The sequence below is a fragment of the Homo sapiens genome, chromosome 12 (assembly GCF_000001405.40).
Source record: "Homo sapiens chromosome 12, GRCh38.p14 Primary Assembly".
Taxonomy (NCBI): domain Eukaryota; kingdom Metazoa; phylum Chordata; class Mammalia; order Primates; family Hominidae; genus Homo; species Homo sapiens.
The window spans coordinates 9,154,884-9,179,208 of NC_000012.12; the positions used below are offsets into that span (position 1 = coordinate 9,154,884).

Genomic DNA, 24,325 nt, shown 5'->3' on the forward strand with positions numbered 1-24,325 from the left:
AATTATAACTGGTAGATAAGAGAATGCACATTCATAATACATGGAGCTGAAAATAATACAGGAGAAGCAAGGTCTTCTATGTCATAAACTCCTAAAACTCACTAACTCACACTTCTATGCTGAACTTGATTTAGTCCTGTGGTACGAAGGTAGGGTAGGTTGATGGAGGAAGAAGCATAGAGCATACTCACCAATCTCTCCAATGTTATTTTAGTTGGACTGATGAAAGAGAAAAGTGGTAGAGAGAGTTCTTTTATTGTTCGTGATATTTTCTGAGAATTGCAGTATAGACTAGAATATAAAACTTAACTATTGACCTCATGTGACTTTTGTGATGCTCTCTCTGGCAAATAGAGATAAAAATAGTTTGAAAATGTTATTGCATTTTCTGTTTGTTGTACCTCTTTTCTTTCTTTTTTTTTCTCTCCAACTGAATCAGTCCGTTTTTGTTGTTTTGTAACCTCTTCCAGAGTTAACTACTTCCATTGTAGGTGATGAAATGTATAAGGCACCACTTCAAATGTTGGCACTGCTATAAGCATGTTCTTTCCTGCTAATTCAACTCAGAATTAAAACTTTTGATTCTTGTTTTGTTTTTTGTTGTTGTTATTGTTGTTGTTGTTGTTGTTTTTGTACTCCATACTCAGAAATAGTTTCCACTGTAGAAGTTATCTCATGGCAGTTGTGTTCTTTCTAGTAGTGGTCTACAACCAGACTCTAGTTTCTCCAAGAACACTACAAGATAGATTGAGTTTAAATATGTACTAAACTAAATGACACTCTTTCAAATGAGTTTGAATGCATTTTGTTTTTAGACAACCTCTATGACATTTTTTCCTTAAAAACAATGCCTCTGCTCCAAATAAATCATGGTCAAAATAAATGAAGATCTCAAGATGACATCAGTTCTACTTGTCTAAGTCCTGGTGTTGTATGGATGACAAGCAGAAGCCAGTTATGACAGGTGATACATCCAAAGTAACTGCCAAATTTGTTAACATTTTTCCATTTCTAAACCATGGAAAATCATCTATGGAGTCACACCATCCTCATGGTAGTCCAGCAGAGGCAGCATGCCATATGGGTTCATGTTTTCACCAATAAAGAACTGGTAGTTTTTATTGCTTCTTGACCTTTTGGCTAAGATCAAATGAAGAACTGGTAGTTTCTGAGATTAGAAAGAGTGTGCTTGATTTGTTCTGCAGCTCCTGTTATAAAAGGTTTTACTGTTTCTGGTCTCTGTTCTTTAAGTTTGTCTTTGATTTTATGTCAGCTTTGATGTACTTCTTGTAGGCTTCTTTTGTGAAGTCAGTTCCTGCAAGTGATTGTTCATGACAATATCAACACCAATGATTACTCTGCTTCCAGTACCTTCGCTTTGGGAAACTTCAGTGAAGGCATCTCCACCAATAAGCGAGTCATCAATGTCACCCTTTGTCCTACTGACCATCTTCCCCTCCACCTCCAGGCACAGTCCTTCCTCCATCTCTGGATCTTGTAAATGTCAGAGAACATCTCAGCGTGGCTGATGAGATCCTGGTAGATAATTATGATGGTAGCTGAAAGGAGACTATAGCAGCACTAGCTTAGGAGAAGCCCAGAGCATGAAGTGAGCATGGTGCAGCCAGGACGGCATTGGGTGGGAATTTAGGGGGTATGGAAGAGCTGTTGTACCTCTTTTCATTCAAGTAAGTAGAGAGAAATCATGAGAAAATGAATCTATTTGTCTATTATATTGGTTTTAGCAAGTAGAAATAAAACTGCATTATTTATCTGCAGCATTATGTCTATTATGTTCTGCTCTGTGTAACATATGCAATCCCAGAGAAGACAGTTTTATAAGAGGTGCTCTGATCTCACAATGTATGACTTGGCTAAGGAATTACAGATGAAGCTTGTGGATTTCAGAAGGAATATATTTCTTCTTTTTGTAGAATCAGTGTAAATGGAAATGGAAATTTGGTACCATTTGCTGTTTGCTCTCACCTTTTTTTGCACAGTTTTTAAAAAAACTTTTATTATTTATCTATTTATTTATTTATTTTTTAAATGTTATTTTATTTTAAGTTCTGGGGTACATGTGCAGGATGTGCAGGTTTGTTACATAGGTGTGCCATGGTGGTTTGCTGCATGTATCAGCCCATCACCTGGTTATTAGGTCCCCCATGCATTAGCTATCTATCCTGATGCTCTCCCTCTCCGCACCTCCCAGACAGGCCCCAATGTGTGCTGTTCCCCTCCCTGTGTCTATGTGTTCTCATTGTTCAGCTCCCACTTATAAGTGCTCTCACCTTCTTTCACAGCTTCCTTATCAAGTGAGTTCAGTATTTCTCTATTCTGATTTTGCTTTCCCAGTAGGGAAAAAGCATAGGCCAGCAATGCCTTGGTGTAGACATGGCTCCCATGGGTCCCCTCCTTTGCTACATTCCAGGCTGACTCCAGGCAGAACAGGGCATTGCGAACAATAGGGTTCTGTAAAGGCAAAATGTGGTTGTGTCAAACTAGGGTGAATAGAGGGCAGAGCAAGCTGAGAGCTGGATATTGACAGTCAGATGTTATTAATAGATTTCAGACAGATAGGCAGACAGCTAGATATTCATCATATTTAAATAGAAAAATATTTCGATCTCTTCCCTTTATAGTTCAGTCTTAAAGAATAAGACTAGAGAACCTGTTTTTAGGATTGGTTTTGATACATAGTCTATGGGCATTACTGGGCAAGTGTAAATCTCTCTTAATGCATCAACCAAAGAGCTTATCAGTCTGAGAAATCCCTCATCATTGAACCAAAAGATACTTGAGACTCAACCCTTAGCAGGGTGGCATTCCAGACAGCAAATCTACAGTTTTCATGGTAGGGAATGGGATTGAGCTGGTACCTACAGTGACTGGGAGAGGAATTTCCAGAAGGGCAATAGTAACATAGGCGGAGAGGGTCGCTTCATCTTCTACACCTCCCTGTGAATACAACATTGATTTGATTAATTCCAGTGCCAAGTGTTAGTATATTCTCTTCTGTTGTTTGATGGAAACGCTCCTCAGTATCTGTTTCCATTCAAAGTATACCATTTCCTTCTCTCTCTCTCTCTCGACAGGTTCTTGCTCTGTAGCTCAGGCTGGAGTGCAGTAGCACTATCACACATGACAGCCTCAAGCTCCTAGGCTCAAGCAATTTTGCTGCCTCAGCTTGTCAAGTAGCTGCAACTACAGGCACAGGCCACCATGCCTGGCTAATTTTGTAAAATGTTTTTTGTAGAGACTGGGTCTTGCTATGTTGCCCAGGCTAGTCTTATACTCCTGGGCTCAAGTGATCCACCTGCCTTGGCCTCCCAAAGTGCTGTGATTCTACGTGTGATCCACTGCATCTGGCCCAATTTCTTCCTTCTCTGTAGAAAGTGTAATACTCTTTCCCTGATGCCATCCCACATCATCCAGGACTTCATCTTTGCAATTTCCTTGTGCCTCCTTCCTCCCTTCACCCCTGGGGGATGTTATGTTGATGTGTGTCAGGCTCAGAAGTTTGTGGAACAGTTCACCTTTATGGCATTGTTGAGCAGTGACCCAGAGCTCCTGAAACAGCCATTGTCCTTCTGCATCTGGGAGAGCCACGTGAGAGATTGGGTAATGTGTGCTTCATCAATGAAGATGTAGGATCGAGCCTGGGCGAAAGTCTTCAGTACAAAAGCTGTGAGCCTAGGGGGAGGAAAAATGCAGTGCTGAGGCTCTTTTCATTGAGCACTTTACTGCTCTGTTTTGTACACACAGGCTCCCCCATCACAGTGTGCACCCAAGAAAGTCAATCAGCTGTTACTGAGAGTTTGGAGACTTTTTCTTTTTAGCTTAGACATCTCTTTTTCTTTTTTCTTTTCTTTTCTTTTTTTTTTTTTTTTTGCTGCCACATGTTGTTCAATTCATTACCAGCTTGTCCTTGCTTCCTAAAGCATTTCTATGCCACTTCAGAGGTTCAGGTTCCTTCCAGTTTTCTTGGTTGGTTAACTAAGTCATTTGCTTTTACACTGTGGGCTCTATGAATTTATTTCCTTTCCTAGATTTCTTAGCTTACTTTCTGTAGTTTTAACTCTAATCAGCTAACTTCTAATGTTCTGCTTCAGTAAATATTTCCCTCCATCATCCTGCCCTTCCACTTTTTTCCCCTGTGTTTGCCTGTGTGGTAAAACTACAAAGAGAGAGAGAGAAAGGATATCATCTAGTAGAAGGTAGTAAGGTATGCTCTGCCAGTAATGGTTGTGGTTTTATTCTAGCATTTTTCTAACACCTCTTAGGGCTGAGCAACAATTTAAGGGGGCAAGTTACAAACCTATAATGTTCCCTTAGCAACATGAGAAGGAAGAGGGTCTGGGTATATTGGATTAAAAAAATCAACCTAAAAGTGTTCTCAATTTTGCCACTTATTAGATGTTTGCTCCTGACACATTTATTTATCCACACTGAATATGTTTTCTCCTCTGTAAAATGAAGCTAATAACTCTCACTTCCCAGGGTAGCTATAAGAATTAAATAAGGTAACATTATGGTTTAGAAATTGTTTCTCCACCAAAACTCATGTTAAAACTTAATCCCCAATGTGGTAGTATTGAGAGGTGGAGCCTTTAAGAGGTGATTGGCTCATGAGGGTTCTGCTCTCATGAATGGATGAATCTATTCCTAGATTAAAGGGCTATCATGACAGTTGGACTGGTGGCTTCATAAGAAGAGGAGGAGATGCTAGCCCAGTCTCTACAAAGTAAAACAAAGAAAAGAAAAGAAGAGAAGGAGAGACCCAAGTGAGCCCATTCAATCCTCTAGTCATATGATGCCCTGCATCACCGTGGGACTCCTCAGAGTCCACACCAGCAAGAAGACTCTCAACTAGATGCGGCCCCTAGACTTTTGACTTATCAGCCTTCATAGCTATAAGAAATAAATTTCTTTTCTTTATAAATTACCTAGTTTCAGGTATTCTGTTATAAGCAACAGAAAATGGACTAAGACAGGTAATCTATGTGCACGTTCTGAACTCATAGTTGAAACTCAGAATAGATTTTCTTTCTTACCAAGTGTTGCCCTGGTTCCTGCCATATCGTTCCCCAAAGGTGCTGTAGGAGCCATCTTGGTGTTTGTAGTTCAGCTGTCTCTGGTAACCTGAAATGGAAGGCTTCAGATTGTTCATGAAGCATTAAAGAAAGGCAGGCCATCCATATGTTTAGGCTCATGCATCCAGGCGCCATGGACATTTTATGACCTTCTGTGATCTGCCATAGTTTTGTGAATGTTATGGATAGATCAAACACAACATCCTATTAGAGTGTGGGAAGATTGTTGTTTTCATAAAAATTATCATCATGGGTTAATATTTGATGATATAACTGAAGCTTAATTGGGAAAAGTTTCATTAGAGTAACAAAGTAAATTTTTCTCTGTCTCACTTACCAGTGATGAGATAGCCAACGGCCTTGGCCTTGATCTCCTGCGTCAGCTGCTGGGTTTCATTCAGATAGTTCAAGACATAGATGTTAGGAGCAAATAGGACCATGTTCTGTTCTCCACAGCCATATGGCATCTGGAGGAGATTTTGTATATTTTGCATAGCAGAACCTAATATGTCACCTGGGGAATGTGAAAGATTAGATGTCAGAATAATTTCAGTTCATAAATAGCCAACATTATTAACAAAAATGGCCTTTATATTCAGAGTCTATCATTTAGGTAAGAGAAAAGTTATATACACAGAGTGTGACTTCCAGAATCCTAATAAGAATAGCAGCTATCGCCTGTAATCCCAGCACTTTGGGAGGCCGAGGCGGGCGGATCATGAGGTCAGGATATCGAGACCATCCTGGTGAACACGGTGAAACCCCGTCTCTACTAAAAATACAAAAAAATTAGCCGGGCGTGGTGGCGGGCGCCTGTAGTCCCAGCTACTCGGGAGGCTGAGGCAGGAGAATGGCGTGAACCCAGGAGGCGGAGCTTGCAGTGAGCCGAGATCACGTCACTGTACTCCAGCCTGGGCGACAGAGCGAGACTCCATCTCAAAAAAATAAAAAAGAATAGCAGCTATCAAGAACTTGATAATTCAAATACAAATACGTAGATAAGATGTACAGTGGCAACTCTTTTGGCCCAGGTTTACTAAATGGAAGGTGACTCACCCAGAACTGAGAAAGAAGCTCTGGCAGATTCTTTGACCACATTTGATGGGAGCTTCAAGGACAACTGCTCAGACACATTAGCACCTTTAGAAACAGACAGCCCATGTTAAAGGAGGACATCTATGATTACAATATAATTTAGTGATTATAATGTAGTGAGAGCTTCAGAGCCACACTCCCTGGATATGGTACTGGCCCTGCTTTGTGACCTTGGGTAAATTGTGATGATTTGAGGAAAAAACACATGTAAAACATTCAGAACAGTATCTGCAACATATTCAATTTCAACGAATGTGAGCAATTGTTATTATTGCAGTTATTTTATTATTAGAGTTAGCAGTAATATTATTATATCTCCTTGTGGAACTCTGGGTGCAAGGAATAAGAATTTGACTTAATGATGAGACTACCTTTGATAGTCTAATTGCTTTTGGCACTGTGTGACTTCCAGAGTCCTTCCTCTTCTCATTTAACTATATTTTTGCATGGCTGTGCTCAGTAGCTTTCTAAAAGAAGCCTAAGACTTAGTGGGGGAACTATCGCTCTCCACTTTTGTAGCAATATTAAGACTTATAACCATGATAATACAAGTTATTTTACTGCCTCCCTTACACTATATTTGAATGGATTCCCATGTTTATAAATAGATAACATGAATATACCTTAAATTAGTCCTTCTCAAATGACAAATACAGTGCTGTATACACTGTGGACATAGAACTAATAATGTGGCGGTTCTGTATAAAAGCTACAACTACTTCTTAATGATATGATGAACTTAAATGTAAATTATTTTCTACACGGAAAACACACATTTTTAGTGAGATGGGTAGGAAATGCTATATGTTTTGTCAGCAGCTGTTTTAGAGACTATCTCTTGGGATTCAAACTTATCATGACCCTGCTGTCTTTAGTTTTTGTTGTTGTTGTTGTTTGCTTGTTTGTTTTTTTAAGAGTCTCACTCTGTTGCCCAGGTTGGAGCGCAGTGGTGTGATTTCGGCTCACTGCAACCTCCCCCTGCCCGGCTCAAGCGATTCTCGTGCCCCAGCCCCCCATGTAGCTGGGACTACAGGCGCCCGCCACCAGGCCTGGCTAATTTTTGTTTTTTTCGTAGAGACAGGGTTTCACCATGTTGGCCAGGCTGTTCTCAAACCCCTGACCTCAAGTCATCCTCCCGCCTCAGCCTCCCAAAATGCTGGGATTACAAATGTGAGCCACCACACCCGGCTAACCCTGCTCTCTTTCTACCTCATCCTGGGACACTCTAAGCTTCTGCAGCTGGGCTTGTCAGTGAGCAGCCACTGGGCTATCCAGGTAAAAGGGCTACGTATGAACCAAGAAAGCCCAGGTATTAGTCCTGTCTGTACCACCTGAGTCACATTAACTTGCTCTCTTGGGCTCAATGTCTTCATCTGTAAAACATACATAAAGAAATATTTAGTATTATGCTGACTTTCATGGAACACTCTGAAAACTGGGAGATAAAATGAATGTGCATTGTAACTTGAGGTTTATACCCCTTTGTGGTTTTGATCTCACTATGATTATGAAGATGGACTCTTACCTGAGGCACAGGTCATAGAACTGAAAGTCTTTTCTTGCTCAATACCTTCAGCCTTGGATGAAAGGAAAGAAAAGGAGAAAAGATAGAAACATCCTGGTGACAAGAGAACCACATGGATTCCTTTCTTTGATGGGTAGGGTTTACACGAATGATGTTTACCATCCTACTCTTTTTTTCCCAACTTTTGTTTTAAGTTCAAGGGGACATGTGCAGGAGGTGCAGGTTTGTTACATAGGTAAATGTGTGCCATGGTGGTTTGCTGCACAGATCATCCCATCACCTAGGGATTAAGCCCAGCATCCACTAGCTATTCTTCCTGATGCTCTCCCTTCTGTCACTCCCACTCTCAGACAGGCCCCATATATGTTGCTCGCCTCCATGTGTCTATGTGTTTGCATCATTCAGCTCCCACTTATAAGTGAGAACATAACATCCTACTTGTTATTGAATTATTACAAATCCATAAAACATTGAAGAACCAGGGAGGGTGGTAGAGAGAAAATGGGAAGAGATAATAAGGGCAGTAAATCAAAGCTAATGGGTATGAGAGATATGTGAATCTTAGGAGAGAGGTGGAGATCAAGAAATTGCGCTCAATGTAATCCCAGCACTTTGGGAGGCCGAGAAGGGAGGATCACGAGGTCAGGAGATTGAGACCATCCTGGCTAACATGGTGAAACCCCGTCTCTACTAAAAATACAAAAAAAAAAAAAAAAAAATTAGCCAGGCGCCTGTAGTCCCAGCTACTCGGGAGGCTGAGGCAGGAGAATGGCATGAACCCGGGAGGCAGAGCTTTCAGTGAGCCGAGATCGCAACACTGCACTTCAGCCTGTGCAACAGAGCAAAACTCCGTCTCAAAAAAAAAAAAGGAAATTGCACTCAAATAATTTGTGAAAAAAAATTTACAATAGCTGGCAATGTTGTCTGCTGCAATGCTTTTAGGGCAGGAAATTCCATTAGTCTTACAGGATGTATTGTGTGAGCATGATATTAATGGTTCTTTGTTGTCTCAAGAGTGACCGCCCGGTGTTGCATTCTTACAGTTGTTAGGGACTCCCAAAAATATGTTACCTCCACCAACAGGGTTTTGATGACTGTGTCTTTTCTTTTAATCTCAGGGACCTCAACAACCTCATTTCCACAGAGTTCTAAGGACTGCATTGCCTCTGCACTCACTGAGAAGTTCACATTCCCTAAAACAAGGAATATTGAAAACATGAGTATCCACTTTGATAGTCCAATCACCTTTAAGGGCTGCACCTTAAACTTATAGTTGTCCAGAATAGAAAATAAGGCTAAAAAAAAAGAAACCCACAAGGTTAATGTATACTAAGTAGCCAATGTCCAAGATAGTGATTCTGGGGACTAGCTTGGGTGAGAACAGTGGGAGGAGGTCATAGTGGATAGAAATAGGAAAAAAAACTAACTTTATAGAATTATATCTATGGCAAATAAAAGAGAGAATATGATGAAAAAAGTACTCAGACAGCCACCGTCCTTGTTGATTGATAGGCCCTTTTGGGTACTGTCACTCACCCAGAGTTTTAGGAGTCACTGTCCAAGACAAGGTTTGTCTCTCATTTCCACAGATACAATAGGATTCTTCTCCCTTTGTATTTTGGGAAGCTAGGAAGGCTGGAGAGGCTTTCAGCTGCACACTGACCTATCACCCCATGTGAGGCAGAGACAGAAATGATCAGAATATGGAACGACACGAACACATAGAATTGGGGCCAAGTGTGAGATGCTGCAGTAAATTGGGATTTGTAAGAAAAATGTATGTCACATAGATTCATCCATGCTTTAAGAAGCATGGCAATGGCAATGATACAAATCAAGATTGGTTGTGTATTAGGAGGATTTGGCATTTGCCTTAGGGTAGCTTGTGGACGTGCAGGCTTGGCAGTGGCAGAGGAAAGGGAAAAGCAGTGATTGTATATTGCCCTAGGGAATACTATCTGCTGCTATGTAGATTTTCATAGTTTCTTCCTTCCTTTCTTCTCCTATTTCTTACAACATATATTACATGTCTAATCCATACAAGACATAAAACACTGGGAATGGTAGATGAGAGGCTCCCGATCTTGAGGATATTGTGTCACAAGAAAGATGATCTATATACAACCACTATTACATAATTTACAAAGAGATAAGTGCTATAAGATAAATTAAAATTATATATTTTGGAGATTTCAAGATGACGGGTTGGAGAATGACTCTCGTGGAACTGAGAAAGCTGAGTTGTGTGTCAGCTTCAAGAATGTTCCTGGCATATAACCTAACTTGCAGCAAAGAATTCTGCAAGCGCTAAGAAATAGAAAAGCAAGGTGTGGCTTAGAGAGCCGTGATTTAAGCACCCATAGCACATATATCATTGTATTATCTTTCTGATCATGTCCTGCTTTGCATAGCACTAATTATTCACAGTGCTAACACACAATCCCTTGAATTATCCTTAGTCTCAGGAACAGAATCAGTAGCTGACTGATCAAAGGAATCTTTTGTTCTACCCACCTTTCCTGTTCACCCTCATTTTCCTTACCCGGATGCATTTGGGAAGGTAGTTTAGGACCGTGGCCTTGAGTGTGAAGACCTCTCCACGAATCACAGAGTAAGGCATTGTGAGCTCCACAAAGAAGGGCTGGAAGGCTCGGAGAGAGGCAGTGGAAGAGATACCAAGTCCAGCATCTTCGGACAGGCAGAAGGCCCCTGCCTTCCACTCGGTGATGGTGTCAGGGACTGTTACTCCTACCTCAGCCACACCTGATGAGCTGGGGAGGAGGGCAAGTGAAGAACAGAAATAATGAATGTAAGCCACCTTTTCTCAAGTGAGAATTAATATGCATAAAGCTAACGTCAAGAACTGAATCCACTTAAGGGTATATGCGAGTGTGCATTCGTGTGAACACTAGATTATGTCCTGGGATCTGAGTTGGGAAAATGAAAGCCACTGAATGGTACCTCTCCCCCTTATCAACAAATGATCATATCCCACATGTCTGTACTTTGAATAAAAATATTTGAATTGCGATTCATTTTAGTCCTTAACTTCCCTTGCTATTGTATAATCCCATAAATAAGCATTTTTAAGAATCATGACCAACAATTAGACCACTGGATTAATGTAGCCTGATTTGTTTATGTGCCTGCTCCAGCCCTGATATTTACAGAAGGCTCCCTGAACGACATTAAGCAGTATATATAGAACTGAATATTTATAGTTCTCATGTCTACTATTTGACAGTATCAGAAATAATTATTTTAGAATTGCTCAGCACTGAGACAATTGTATTAATGAGCCTATGCAATTGCGCATTTTACTTAGGTCTATCCTAAAGAGGAAGAGGTTAAGATAATTATTCAGAACTTTTCAGGAAGATTGTCTTAGAATTGAAAATGTTGGAGGAACCACATTCCCTCCCCTCCAGCAAATGGAGGAAAGTAAAGTTACTTACTTCACTGCCACCAACTCCCAGATCCAAGTCTCAGGAAAATAGCTTCGCACCGTTTCAGGGACTGGCCCTGAACTTTGTTCATTATTTAAGGGTATCACATTATATGTGCCTAATTGAGGAACATATGGTCTCTCTACTACTCCTAGACCTGCTAAAGTAAGAGAAAATTGTCTAGTTAGGGAAAAACATTCATTAATTTCATGGTGCACATGTGAGACGTTAGAGAACAAAATTTTCAGTTTTCCTGCTCAGACTGTCCTAAAAGTCTTGTAGAAGTTGTAGAACTTGGGAAATACTTTGTGATCCCTCATTCCCTGAAAAGAGAGGAGTCTTTGTCAAAGGTGGAAATTCTATGTATCCTAGACATAGCATAATTTGATGTGAATGGAAGCTGGAAAAACGAGATCACTTGGAGACAGTTTTATGGGTTTTGTGGCGAAGGACCAATTTTGAAATTGAGACAGTATTGCTTCATTCTTAGAGAAACTGAGCAGGAATTGTAAAATGCTCTTTAGACATTGAGAGTGGTTGCTATACTAAAAATGAAATTACCAGTGGAGTGAACAGAATTTAATGATTTACATTAAATTACTTTTACATAAATTAAATTTACTTTAAATCACTGTATGGAACTTTGCAAAACTGTTGTTCTCTGGGAAATAAGATTAGAGCATTAGATTTTATTCCACTTATTTTTTGACATCTGAAATAAACAATTCAGTTGTCAAAAACAGATATTTCCATTTGGAATGGCTGTGTGGTTCAGACAAAGAAATCATTTACCAACGTGAGAGGGTGGAGAGCTAGACATGAAAGCAATTTTGTCCACGTTGTGCCTGAAATCATGCTTACTAATTGAATTTGATTTAAGATCTCCCTCCATGTATCCCATCTGATATTTCAGAAATACCTTGTGAAAGAATACTTACAAGGAAAAATATATTTCTAGCAATTTCACCCTAACAGTTTTCTCCACTGAAGAAAGCATCAGTAGTAATTTCTTTAGTGAATATCATACACCTTGCCCCATGTCCTTCCAAGTGGTAACAATTTCTATCTCTGACTCTGATTTCTCACTGTTTTGTCTTCTCTGTCTTCACTCTTATCTTAAATATTGAAATATCTAAAAGGATGATGCACCTAAATGAACTATTTTCCATTTTCTACTGGATATGTCAAGGGCCCTCCAACTCCTCCAGTTATTGCAGTTAACAAACCATGGCATTATGTGTTATTTCAACTCCATTTAGTGGACCATGGCTATATCCTTCCTACTCTTACTGTCAACTTGACTTTCCACGTGTCCTTTCATAGTCTCTGCATCAAAGCTTTGTGTATCAGACCCAAGACCCTGGTGGCATGGGCTCACAAGGGTATCTCCTGATCCATGGGTTGCAGAGATCCTTGGGAGAAATGTGATTTCCCAGGCGAGGTCGCACAATCACTCACCGCTTCCCTTGGCTGGGGGTGGGGGTTCCTTCCGTTGCCCTCCCCCACCTCCACCCCTGCTGCTTTTCATTGTTCTCTGTAGTCATGGAAATGGCTTCATGTTGTTGAAGTTCTTATCAAGAAATTTCACAAGATATTTCAGTTTTCTTAGCTCTTTTATTTCCTCATATACCTGATTCATTTATAGCTACTAATTTCAATCCCTGTTATGTATTCATCACACATTTTAGAAGCTCTTTTTTTCCTGAGTGTTATTATATGCCGTCAATTTTCCATCTTGAATTTAATAAATTCAAGAACATTTCCTTCCCCCCAAACCTCAATGGTTTAAACTTGAAGTTTGTTCTATGTAAATCTCATGGCTATTTTCCTTTCCCTTATTCTTTATTCTCGTTATTTATATAACATCTCAGTTACAAGACAAAATCATATTTACCATTTTTGAGAAATTGTTTGAAATTTGTGCTATCATTGAAGGTATACTTAAACAGTCCATGGCCCTTTAAAAGGTGTCATTTTCTTAATAATAAAGCTCATTTAAAGATGGATATTAATCTTAAATGCCAAGGAACATAGAAAATGCTATTTAAACAATCAAAGTTCTTAATTTGTGTTGGTGCATTATATTTAGTTATCTTATTGGGCGTTTTGCAAGGTCTTGAAGAGCCATTAGTCAAATTCCTTCAATTTATTAATGAAGGATTTGAGGCTTAGAGAGGAGATATGACACACCCACTTCACATATAGGATATCTGATTTCCAATCCGAGCATATAAATATTTGTGAGCAGATGGATGTCAGGGATATTTTGGAGAAAAAGGGAGTTGGATTCATGAGAGAGGGATGACAAATGGCTGGGTAGTGTTCAAGTGTAAGTAGACCTGGTGATGGGACAGATGTTTTAATAAGTTCAAGGGTGTTGAAAAAGGCTGCTGTATTTGAATAGTGGTTTTGGCCATGGATTATGAGATATTTCTGTGATGTTCACGTTGTTTCTTGTCACCAGTGAAGCCCTTTGTCCTTCTTTATGTTTTTTAAAATACAGCATCCCTATGAATGTCTTTCCTGTTTCCATAATCAGAATTACTCTTTCTTTCCATTGTCAGCATTTTCCCTCTCTTACAGTACATCAGAATCTTGTATTTTATCTGATTTTGTGCCCTGAAGTATCGGATGTATCTAAAAAAAAATCTCTGATCAGTTCTAGCTATCACCAGCTAAGTCACCTCAGCAAGAAACAATTAATTTGAATCTTGGTTTCTTTGTGTGTATAAAGTGGAAATAGGGCTACATTACCTCATTTTAGCATTTTGGGCATAGTAATATTGTTGGACATGAAATAAAATTAAAAGCAAATTGCTGTTTTACCTCCATAGTATCCTTGACCTACTGCTCCTGCAGACACGGAAGGGATGACTGAACACGACTTTGGTTTTCGGATTTTTGAGTTAGTGAACACCTTCAATCCCATCCCCTGGAAAAAAATAATTGTTCAATCTACTTGTAAGCTTGATTAGAATATATAAAACATATTATCCTTAGAGACTTCTCTATGTAATTCCAGTATCCTTATATTAATTCTATGGCGAAACACTTGACAGTAAATATAGAGTAGTGAAATTACTAAACTTATGGATTATTAAGATTTTATTCTTTATTCATTATTTTTTGGTTTGCAAATAAAAAAACCTAAATATAACTAAAAAGTATCCAGATGAATAGGCAGAGGTTAGATCTAGCCCTGACTCACATACTGAGCTTTTGTGTGATCCTCACAAGAGACTTTAACCTTTTTATTGGCTTCATTTTTGTCTGCTGAAAAATGGAGAGGCAAGGCTACATAATTACTAAGATTATGAATAGATACAGAGTTTTATTAACATTCAAAAACTCACAAGCCAGCATGTTAATAAGTAGTGAGAATTTTACCTTGAGGAAGCTATAAATATCTGCTTCATTACTTGATAAGGGAACATAGATGGCTCCATTATGAATGAAGAAAGGACGGGGACAGTGTCCTTGTTCTTCCTCCTGCTGGTCCACATTGTCAGGAAAATTGGTGAGATCCTTCACAGTTAGCAGATTATATACCTGTAGCAGTGGGGGGATCAAAGGCAGAACTGTTACTTACTTTTCTTTTGAAATAGAATGAACTGAGAGAAATAAAATAATTATCACCAATCTTTTCTTGAGTACGTTCATGTAGTTGGTACCTTAGAGATAGTTGAAGATTTTCCTTATATTTAACAGTGTTGTTTTGTTATAAAGAAATGAAACCTACTTGGGAAAATGCTTCCAAAGATTAACAAAATCTTAAGTTATGAAGGATTAATTAAAACTTCATTGTAGAGTCTAGAGGTAAAAATAGACCAAATATAGAAAGAAGACGTAACTTGCATCTGTGTTTAATTAATACATAATGCCCTGAGGAATTTAGCTACATATTATTATTGCCACCTGTTAAACATCTATGTCTACTCAGGCTTATTCTCAGACAGAAAATCGTATAGATGGCCCATTAGAAGCAGCTGCGGTCTGCAGCACTTACGGAGTGGAATGAAAAAGCTTATTAAATGCAGCACCTTCAACTGAAATACCCAGGTTCTCACATTGAGACTGACTAGGCAAGCAACTTGAGCCACAGAGAACAATGAAAAGCAGCAGGGGCGGAGGTGGGGGAGGGCAACGGAAGGAACCCCCACCCCCAGCCAAGGGAAGCGGTGAGTGATTGTGCGACCTCGCCTGGGAAATCACATTTCTCCCAAGGATCTCTGCAACCCATGGATCAGGAGATACCCTTGTGAGCCCATGCCACCAGGGTCTTGGGTCTGATACACAAAGCTATGTGGAGTCTTGGCAGAGCAGCTGCTCAGGCACACAGAAACCCTGGAGTTTTACATAATCCGGCCCTGGGATCCCTGGAAAGGCAGGAAATCTGTTTGTATATATCCCTAGGAAGGGGGCTAAATTCAGAGAGCCAAAGAGCATCATCCTGTGGACCCCACTTCCACAGCACCTCACAGGTTAAGACTCACTGTCTTGGAATCTCAGCCAGCCGACGGCAGTGGGTTGGAGTCCACCTGAGATGGACCTGAGTTCCTGCAGGGAGAGGTGGGTGCCATCTCTGTGGTTCTGAGGACTCAGCCACTCCAGCCTGAAGGCTTGGGGAATACAGATGGTCTGGATGAGGAACGGTCCCCCACGATGCAGCACAGCTGCCTTGCCAGATTGTGATCAGACTGCTTCTTTAAGTGGGACCCTGATCCATTCCTCCTCATCGAGTGGGACCTTTCTGTGGGGGCTTCAGGTACTCCAGCCAGGGTTCTAAAGACAGAGCTTTGATCTCTCCCTGGGACCGAGCTCCTGGGGGGCAGGGGTGTCTGCCATCTCTGCAGTTTGGTTGACTCTGCCACTCCAACCTGCTGGCTTTGGAGAATACAGGTGATCCAGGTGAGGAAGGATCCCACCCAATGCAGCCCACCTGCTCTACCAAAAAGCAGCCAGGCTGCTTCTTTGAGAAGGTCCCTGATCCCATTCCTCCTGACTGGGCGAGACCTCCCAATGAGGGTCTCCAGCCACCTCCAACAGTTGCATGTGGGCTGGCAACAAGTTAGTACCCCCACAGGATGGAGTTTCTAGAGGAAGGCACAGGCTGCCATCTTTGCTGTTTCATGGCCTTTGCTGGTGATACTTCCACGTACGGGAGAAACCAAAGCAACTGGGGTCTGGAGTGGACCCCCAGCAAACCTCAGCAGCCCTATGATAGAGTGGCTTGACTGCTAAAAGAAAAACAAACAAACAAACAGAAAACAACAGCATCAACAAAAAAGACCTAACACAAATCTAATTCAAAGGGCAGCAGCCTCAAGGATTAAAGGTAGATAAGTTCACAAAGATGAGAAAGAATTAATTCAAAAACAACGAAAACTCAAAATGCCAGAGTGTCTCTTCTCTTCCAGATGACTGTGACACCTCACCAGCAAGGGCACAGAACCGGGCTGAGGCTAAGAATTGACAGAAGTAGACTTCAGAAAGTGGATAACAATAAACTTTGCTGAGCTGTAACCCAATGAAAAGAAGCTGAGAATCATGATAAAACAATACAGGAGCTGGTAGCCAGAATAGCCAGTTTAGAGAGGAACATAACTGACCTGATGGAGCTGAAAACCGCATCTCAAGAACTTCACAATGCAATCACAAGTATCAGTAGCAGGATAGACCAAGAGGAGGAAAGAATCTCAGAGCCTGAAGATTATCTATCTGAAATAAGACAGGCAGACTAGAATAGAGAAGAAAGAATGAAAAGAAATGAACAAAACCTCTGAGAAATATGGGATTATGTAAAAAGACCAAACCTATGACTGATTGGGATCCTTGAAAGAGACAGGGAGAATGGAACCAAGTTGGAAAACATACTTCAGGATATCATCCAGGAGAACTTCCCCAACCTAGCAAGACAGGCCAACATTCAAATTCAGGAAATGCAGAGAAGGCCAGTAAGATACTCCACAAGAACATCAACCCAAAGACACAAAATCATCAGATTCTCCAATGCCAAAATGAAAGAAACCATGTTAAGGACACCTAGAGAGAAAGGCCAAGTCACCTACAAAAGGAAACATATCATACTAACAGTGGACCTCTCTGCCAAAACCATGGAAGCCAGAAGAAATTGGGGGCCAATATTCAACATTCTAAAAGAAAATAATTTCCAACCCAGAATTTTATACCTGGCCAAACTAAGCTTCAAAAGCAAAGGAGAAATAAGATTCTTTTCAAACAAGTGAATGGTTAGGAAATTTATCAACACAAGGCCTGCCTTGCAAGAGCTCCTGAAGAAAGCACTACGTTTGGAAAAGAAAGACCATTACCAGCCACTACAAAAACACACTGAAGTACACAGGCCAGAACACTATGAAGCAATCACATAAACAAGTCTGCAAAAAAGCATCATGATGACAGGATCTAATTCACCCATAAAAATACTAACCTTAAATGTAAATGGGCTAAATGCTCTAGTTAAAAGACACAGAATGGCAAGCTGAATAAAGAGCCAAGACCCATCATCAGTATGCTATCTTCAAGAGACTCATCTCACACGCAAGGACAGACACAGGCTCAAAATAAAGGGATGGAGGAAAATTTACCAAGCAAATGGAAAACAGAAAAAAGCAATCCTAGTTTCTGACAAAACAGACTTTAAACCAACAAAGATCAAACAAACAAAGAAGGGTAGTATATAATAGTAAAGGATTCAATTCAACCAGAAGAGCTAACTATCCTAAATATATATGCATCCAATACAGAAGCACCCAGATTCATAAAGCAAGTTCTTATATACCTACAAAGAGACTTAGACTCCCACACAATAATAGCGAGAGACTTTAACACACCACTGACAATATTAGACAGATGATTAAGACAGAAAATTAACAAAGATATTTAGGACCTGAACTCAACTCTGGATCAAGTGGACCTGATTGATATCTACAGAACTCTCCACCAAAATTCAACAGAATATACATTCTTCTCATTGCCACATGGCATTTACTCTAAAATTGGACACATAATTGGAAGTAAAACACTCCTCAGCAAATGCACAAGAACTGAAATCATAACAGTCTTTCAGACGACAGTGCAATCAACTTAGAACTCAAGATTAAGAAATTCACTCAAAACCACACAACTATATGGAAATTGAATAAACTGCTCCTGAATGACTCTTGGGTAAACAATGAAATTAAGGCAGAAATCAAGAAGTTATTTGAAACTAATGAGAACAAAGAGACAATGTACTGCAATCTCTGGGATGCAGCTAAAACAGTGTTAAGTGGGAAATTTATAGCACTAAGTGCCTGCATCTAAAAGCTAGAAAGATATCAAATCAACAACCTAACATCTCAACTAAAAGGACTGTAGAACCAAGAGCATACAAACCCCAAAGCTAGCAGAAGACAAGAAATAGCAAAGATCAAAGCTGAGCTGAAGGAGATAGAGACATGAAAAACCCTCTTAAAAAAACAATGAATCCAGGAGCTGGTTTTTTTGAAAAAAAGTTAATAAAATAGATAGACTGCTAGCTAGACTAATAAAGAAGAAAAAAAGAAAAGAATCAAGTAGACACAATCAGAAATGATAGGGGAATATCACCACTGACCTCACAGAAACGCAAACAACCATCCGCAAATACTATAAACACCTCTGTCTATATAAGCTAGAAAATCTAGAAGAAATGGATAAACTACTGGACACATACACCCTCCCAAGACTGAACCAGGAAGAAACTGAATATTTGAATAGACCAATAACGAGTTCTGAAATTGAGGCAGTAATAAATAATCTACCAACCAAAAAAAGCCCAGGACCAGATGGATGCACAGCTGAATTCTACCATAGGTACAAAGAAGAGCTGGTACCATTTCTACTAAAACTATTCCAAAAATTGAAAAGGAGGGACTCCTCGCTAACTCATTCTATGAGGCCACCATCATCTTGATACCAAAACCTGGCAGAGTCACAACAAAAAAAGAAAGCTTCAGGCGAATATCCCTGATGAACATCGATGCAAAAATCCTCAACAAAATACTTGCAAACCAAATCCAGCAGCACGTCAAAAAGCTTATCCACCACAACCAAGTAGGCTTCATCCCTGGGATGCAAGCTTGGCTCAACATACACAAATCAATAAGTGCGATTCATTACATAAACAGAACTAAAGACAAAAACCACATGGTTATCTCAATAGGTGCAGAAAAGGCCTTTGATAAAATTCAACATCCCTTTATGTTAAAAACTCTCAATAAACTAGGTATTGAAGGAACATACCTCATAAGAGCCATATATGACAAACACACAGCCAATATCATACTGAATGGGAAAAAGCTGGGAGCATTCCCCTTGAAAACTGGCACAAGACAGGGAAGCCCTCTCTCACCACTCCCATTCAACATAGTATTGGAATTTCTGGCCAGGGCAATCAGGCAAGAGAAATAAATAAAGTGTATTCGAATAGGAAGAGAGAAAGTCAAATTATCTTTATTTGATTTTATATCTAGAAAACCCCATTATCTCAGTCCAAAAGATTCTTAAGCTGATAAGCAACTTCAGCAAAATCTCAGGATACAAAATCAATGTGCAAAAATCACAGGCATTTCTATACACCAACAACAGGCAAGCAGAGATCCAAATCATGAATGAACTCCCATTCACAATTGCTACAGAAAGAATAAAATACCTAGGAATACAGCTAACAAGGGAAGTGAAGGACCTCTTCAAGGAGAACTACAAACCACTGCTCAAGGATATCATAGAGGACACAAACAAATGGAGAAACATTCCATCCTCACGCATAAGAAGAATCAGTGTAATGACAATGGCCATACTGCCCAAAGTATTTTATAGATTCAGTGCTATTCCCATTAAACTACCATTGACATTCTTCACAGAATTAGAAAAATCTATTTTAAAATTCATATGGAACCAAAAAAGAGCCTGAATTGCCAAGACAATTCTAAGCAAGAAGAACAAAGCTGGAGGCATCATGTTACCTGACTTCAAACTTTACTACAAGGTTACAGTAACCAAAACAGCATGGTACTGATAAAGAACAGACACATAGACCAATGGTACAGAATAGAGAACTCAGAGATAAAACCGCAAACCTACAACCATCTGATCTTTGACAAACTTGACAAAAACAAGCAATGGAGGAAAGGCCTCCCTATTTAGTAAATGGTGCTGGGAATGCTGGCTAGCCTTATGCAGAAAATTGAAACTGGACCCCTTCCTTTCACCATATACAAAAATTAACTCAAGATGAATTAAATACTTAAATGTGAAACCCAAAACTATAAAGACCCTTGAAGAAAATCTAGGCAATACCATTCAGGAGATAGGCGCAGGCAAAGATTTCATGATGAAAATGCCAAAAGCAACTGCAACAAAAGCAAAAATTGGCAAATGAGATATAATTAAATTAAAGAACTTCTGCACAGCAAAAGGAACTATCATTAGAGTGAACAGACAACTTTAAGAATGGGAGAAAATTTTCCCAATCTAACCACCTGAGAAAGGCCTAATATCCAGAGTCTACGAGGAACTTAAACAAATTTACAAGAAATAAAAACCCATTAAAAAGTGGGCAAAGGACATGAACAGACAATTCTCAAAAGAAAACATACATACAGCCAACAAACATATGAAGAAAAGCTCAACATCACTAATCATTAGAGAAATGCAAATCAAAACCACAATGAGATACCATCTCACACCAGTCAGAATGGCTGCTGTTAAAAAGTCAAAAAACAACAGATGCTGATGAGGTTGCAGAGAAAAAGGAATGCTTTTTTTACTGTTGTGGGGAGTGTAAATTAGTTCAACCACTGTGGAAGAAAGTGTGGTGATTCCTCAAAGACCCAGAGGCAAAAATACCATTTGACTCAGCAATTCCATTACTGGGTGTATAGCCATAGGAATATAAATTATTCTGTTATAAAGATACATGCTTGCATATATTCACTGCAGCACTATTCACGATAGCAAAGACATGGAATCAATCTAAATGCCCATCAATGATAGACTGGACAAAGAAAATGTGGTACATATACACAATGGAATACTATGCAGCCATAAAAAGGATGAGTTCATGTCCTTTGCAGAGACATGGATAGAGCTGAAAGCCATTATCCTCAGCAAGCTAACACAGGAACAGAAAACTAAACACTACATGTTCTCACTTATGAGTGGGAGCTGAATGATGAGAATACATGGGGGAACAACACTCACTCCGGCCTATTAGAAGGTAGGGTGTGGGGAGGGAGAGCATCAAGAAGAATAACTAATGGATGCTGGGCTTAATACCTAGGTGATGGGTTGATCTGTGCAGCAAATCACCATGGCACATGTTTACCTATGTAACAACCCTTCACATTCTGCACTTGTACCCCTGAAGTTAAAATAAAAGTTGAAGAAAGAAATAAATAAATAAAACGCAGTCCATATTCAAAATAAAAATAAAAGAACCACATAGGCACATAAATGAACTTATGCCATTATATTGGATAGACCAATGTCTATGCAGTGTACTTTTTATGGAAAATGGATGATTCAACAGATTCAAGAACCCACAGGGCAGGGCCAGAGGCCTGAATATTTATCCCTGGACAGATGTAAGATTGAGTCTTAATCAGAGAACTTCCATTTGCCAGGCTTGATCTCAGAGTAATTATGGACGAGTAACTCCTGAGTGCCTCTTGTTTCCCCTTTTTTGAACAGGAGTGTCAATAGTGATTATTCTATGCCAGTTCCACCATTGCATGTTAAGTGTGTGGGGCCAAATAACTTGAGTACACTTTAGTTCAATGTCTTTGTATCTAGAGGTATTGTACCTGAGGAATCACACCTGAGAGGCATTATCTGTACTTGGACCTGATTTAAATGATATTTAGCCTTTGAGCTGTTCCTATTTTACAATGAGAATCTCAGAGAGAGGATCGAGTATATTTTACATGTGAGAGCTCATGAATTGCTGGGGATCAGAGGTCAGGCTGTGGAGACAGCTTCCAGAATTGCCCACAATAATCTCTGCCTCCTGGTATTCATGCCCGAACATTGTTCGTCGCACAATGAATAGGGTTGACCTCTGTAGCCAATGGGATATTGTGGAAATGAGGGGACATGTCTTTCAGGCCTAGGTCATAAAAGATATTGCAAGTTTAGCACTCTTGGAACGCATTAGCTCTCTTGGATCACATGCTCTGGAGAAAATCAGTTGTCACATTGTGGGACACCAGCAGCCCTAGGACCTCTGTGTGGTGAGGAACTGAGGCCTCCTGCCAATAGCTCTCAAGAAACTTGTCTTGGAAGCAGATCTTCCAACCTCTGTCAAGCTGTCAGGTGGCTGCAGCTTTGGCCGCCATGTTAATCGCAACCAGGGCAGGTCACAAGCTAGACCCACCTAGCTAAGCTGCTCTGAATTCCTGACTCACAGAAATTGCATGTGATAATAAATGTTTATTGTTTTAAGCCACTAGGTTTTGAAGAAAATTGTTATGCAGCAGTAGATAGGTAACGCAAACACCCTTTCTACTTCTTTATTTACCTTTGTTTTTGAGTAGAATTAAATAGGTACATAAATGAACATGTATTATTTATATTGGGTGAACTAATGATTTCTATTATTATTCAAAGCGACCACGCTTAAACGTTTCTATAACTTTATCATCTGAAATCTTCAGTTATGTTCATAGTTTCTTCTCACTTCCACAACACTCAAAGTTTACCAAACCTTACTGAAGTGACTGTTAAATTTATGTGACTAAAAGGAATAAGACAGACATAAACTGTTGAAAGGTAGACTAAATTCCTGTACTACATGCTGAAATTAATAGCTTAGACTAGACTTCCATAAACAGAGAGTGTAAAAATATCAGGCATATTACCAAAGAAAGCACTCAGAGAGAAAGTTTTCTTGTTTTGGGTTAACTTCTTGTTGTTTCTTCTAACTAAAATACAGAAATATAGTCATTGTCTCTTGCCTAATAATTATTACGCTATGAGGAGATATTTTGACCTGTTAATAAAATACAAATCAAGATCAAGAAAAATTTTGATTATAGCAATCCCCCAATCTGCGGTTTTGGTTTCCAAGATTTCCATTATCTGTGGTCAACTGTGATCCAAACATATTAAATGGCAAATTCAGAAATAAACAATTCATACGTTTTAAATTGCTGCCATTTTGAGCAGCATGATGAAATCTCACACTTTCCTGCTTCATCTTGCTCGGGATATGAATCCTCTGTTTTTCTGGTGGATCCACACTGTAGCCACTCCCTGCCCCTTAGTCACCCAGAATCCTCAGTTACAAGATTGTCACAGTATCTCAGTGCTTGTGTTCAAGTCACCCTTATTTTACTTCATCATGGCCCCAATGCACCAGAGTATTGATGCTGGCAATTGGGAGGTGAAAGAGAAGCCGTAAAGTGCTTCCTTTAGGTGAAAAGGTGAAAGTTCCCCACTTGATAAGGAAAGAAAAAATAATGTATGCTGAGGTTGCCAAGATCTACGGTAAGAACGAATCTTCTATCTATCAAATGGTGAAGAAGGAAAAAGAAAATCATGCTTGTTTTGCTGTCACATCTCAAACTACAAAAATTATGGCTACAGCACGCGATAAGTGCTTTGTTAAGATGGAAAAGGCATTAAATTTGTGGGTGGAAGACAGGAACAGAAATGTGTTCCAGCTGATGGTCATTGGGTTCAGTGCTATCCACAGTTTCAGACACCCACTGAAGGTCTTGGGACACACCCCTGCAGATCAGGGGGCACTAGTGGATATGCTCCAACCTGAAGAATGTTAATTTTGATAATTAAAAATAGGACAGGGGTCTCAGATATAGTTATCTCACAGTTTAAAATTTTAATAGACATGAAGTAGAAACTAGAATAAACAAAAGAAAATTTCATATTACGAATTTACCAACCAACATTGAAAGGTAATAATACCTCCCAAACAGATAAGTTGATTGACCCTTTTAAATGGTGATTCATGAGGGAGTTAAAGCTATAAAATTTCTCATAACTTTTTATCAAAGATCAAATCATAACATTATTTTTTCTTGCATTATGTTAAAAAGTTCCAAACACGAGTAATCTAGTTTTAAATAGGTTAGACAAGTAGTTTCTGAACTTTTCCCTTCCTTCTGATA

General features: G+C 39.6%; 2 protein-coding genes and 1 pseudogene across 12 annotated transcripts in view, besides 1 other annotated feature; 1 reads left to right on the forward strand and 2 right to left on the reverse strand.

Moving 5' to 3' along the window:
• KLRG1 (killer cell lectin like receptor G1) overlaps positions 1-24,325 on the forward strand; it is a 265,527-nt gene that overhangs the window by 204,840 nt on the left and 36,362 nt on the right. The gene's annotated exons all lie outside the window — the stretch shown is intronic.
• Positions 1-24,325, reverse strand: part of PZP (PZP alpha-2-macroglobulin like) — a 71,924-nt gene that overhangs the window by 18,412 nt on the left and 29,187 nt on the right. For 3 of the 10 annotated variants that reach the window (XM_017019763.2, NM_002864.3, XM_017019764.2), the window contains exons 16-28: positions 14,547-14,708; positions 13,986-14,091; positions 11,169-11,319; positions 10,256-10,484; positions 9,250-9,376; positions 8,785-8,906; positions 7,714-7,765; positions 6,150-6,233; positions 5,431-5,607; positions 5,055-5,142; positions 3,537-3,693; positions 2,884-2,958; positions 2,292-2,472 (exon numbers count right to left, since the gene is read on the reverse strand). In XM_017019763.2, the coding sequence (XP_016875252.1) occupies positions 2,292-2,472; positions 2,884-2,958; positions 3,537-3,693; positions 5,055-5,142; positions 5,431-5,607; positions 6,150-6,233; positions 7,714-7,765; positions 8,785-8,906; positions 9,250-9,376; positions 10,256-10,484; positions 11,169-11,319; positions 13,986-14,091; positions 14,547-14,708 (1,711 nt within the window). Of the gene's footprint in view, positions 1-2,291; positions 2,473-2,883; positions 2,959-3,536; positions 3,694-5,054; positions 5,143-5,430; positions 5,608-6,148; positions 6,234-7,397; positions 7,562-7,713; positions 7,766-8,784; positions 8,907-9,249; positions 9,377-10,255; positions 10,485-11,168; positions 11,320-12,617; positions 14,092-14,546; positions 14,709-24,325 lie in introns of those variants that run through there. The other 7 variants (XM_047429274.1, XM_024449111.1, XM_047429276.1 and 4 more) reach the window with 6 other exon arrangements.
• TPT1P12 (TPT1 pseudogene 12) lies at positions 628-1,655 on the reverse strand (annotated as a pseudogene).
• Positions 15,218-15,729: an enhancer, noted in NCBI's record as "H3K27ac-H3K4me1 hESC enhancer chr12:9322697-9323208 (GRCh37/hg19 assembly coordinates)". NCBI's record gives its function as "activates a minimal SCP1, AML or CMV promoter by ChIP-STARR-seq in naive H9 embryonic stem cells {active_cell/tissue: H9 hESC(naive)}" and the evidence as "EXISTENCE:reporter gene assay evidence [ECO:0000049][PMID:30033119]".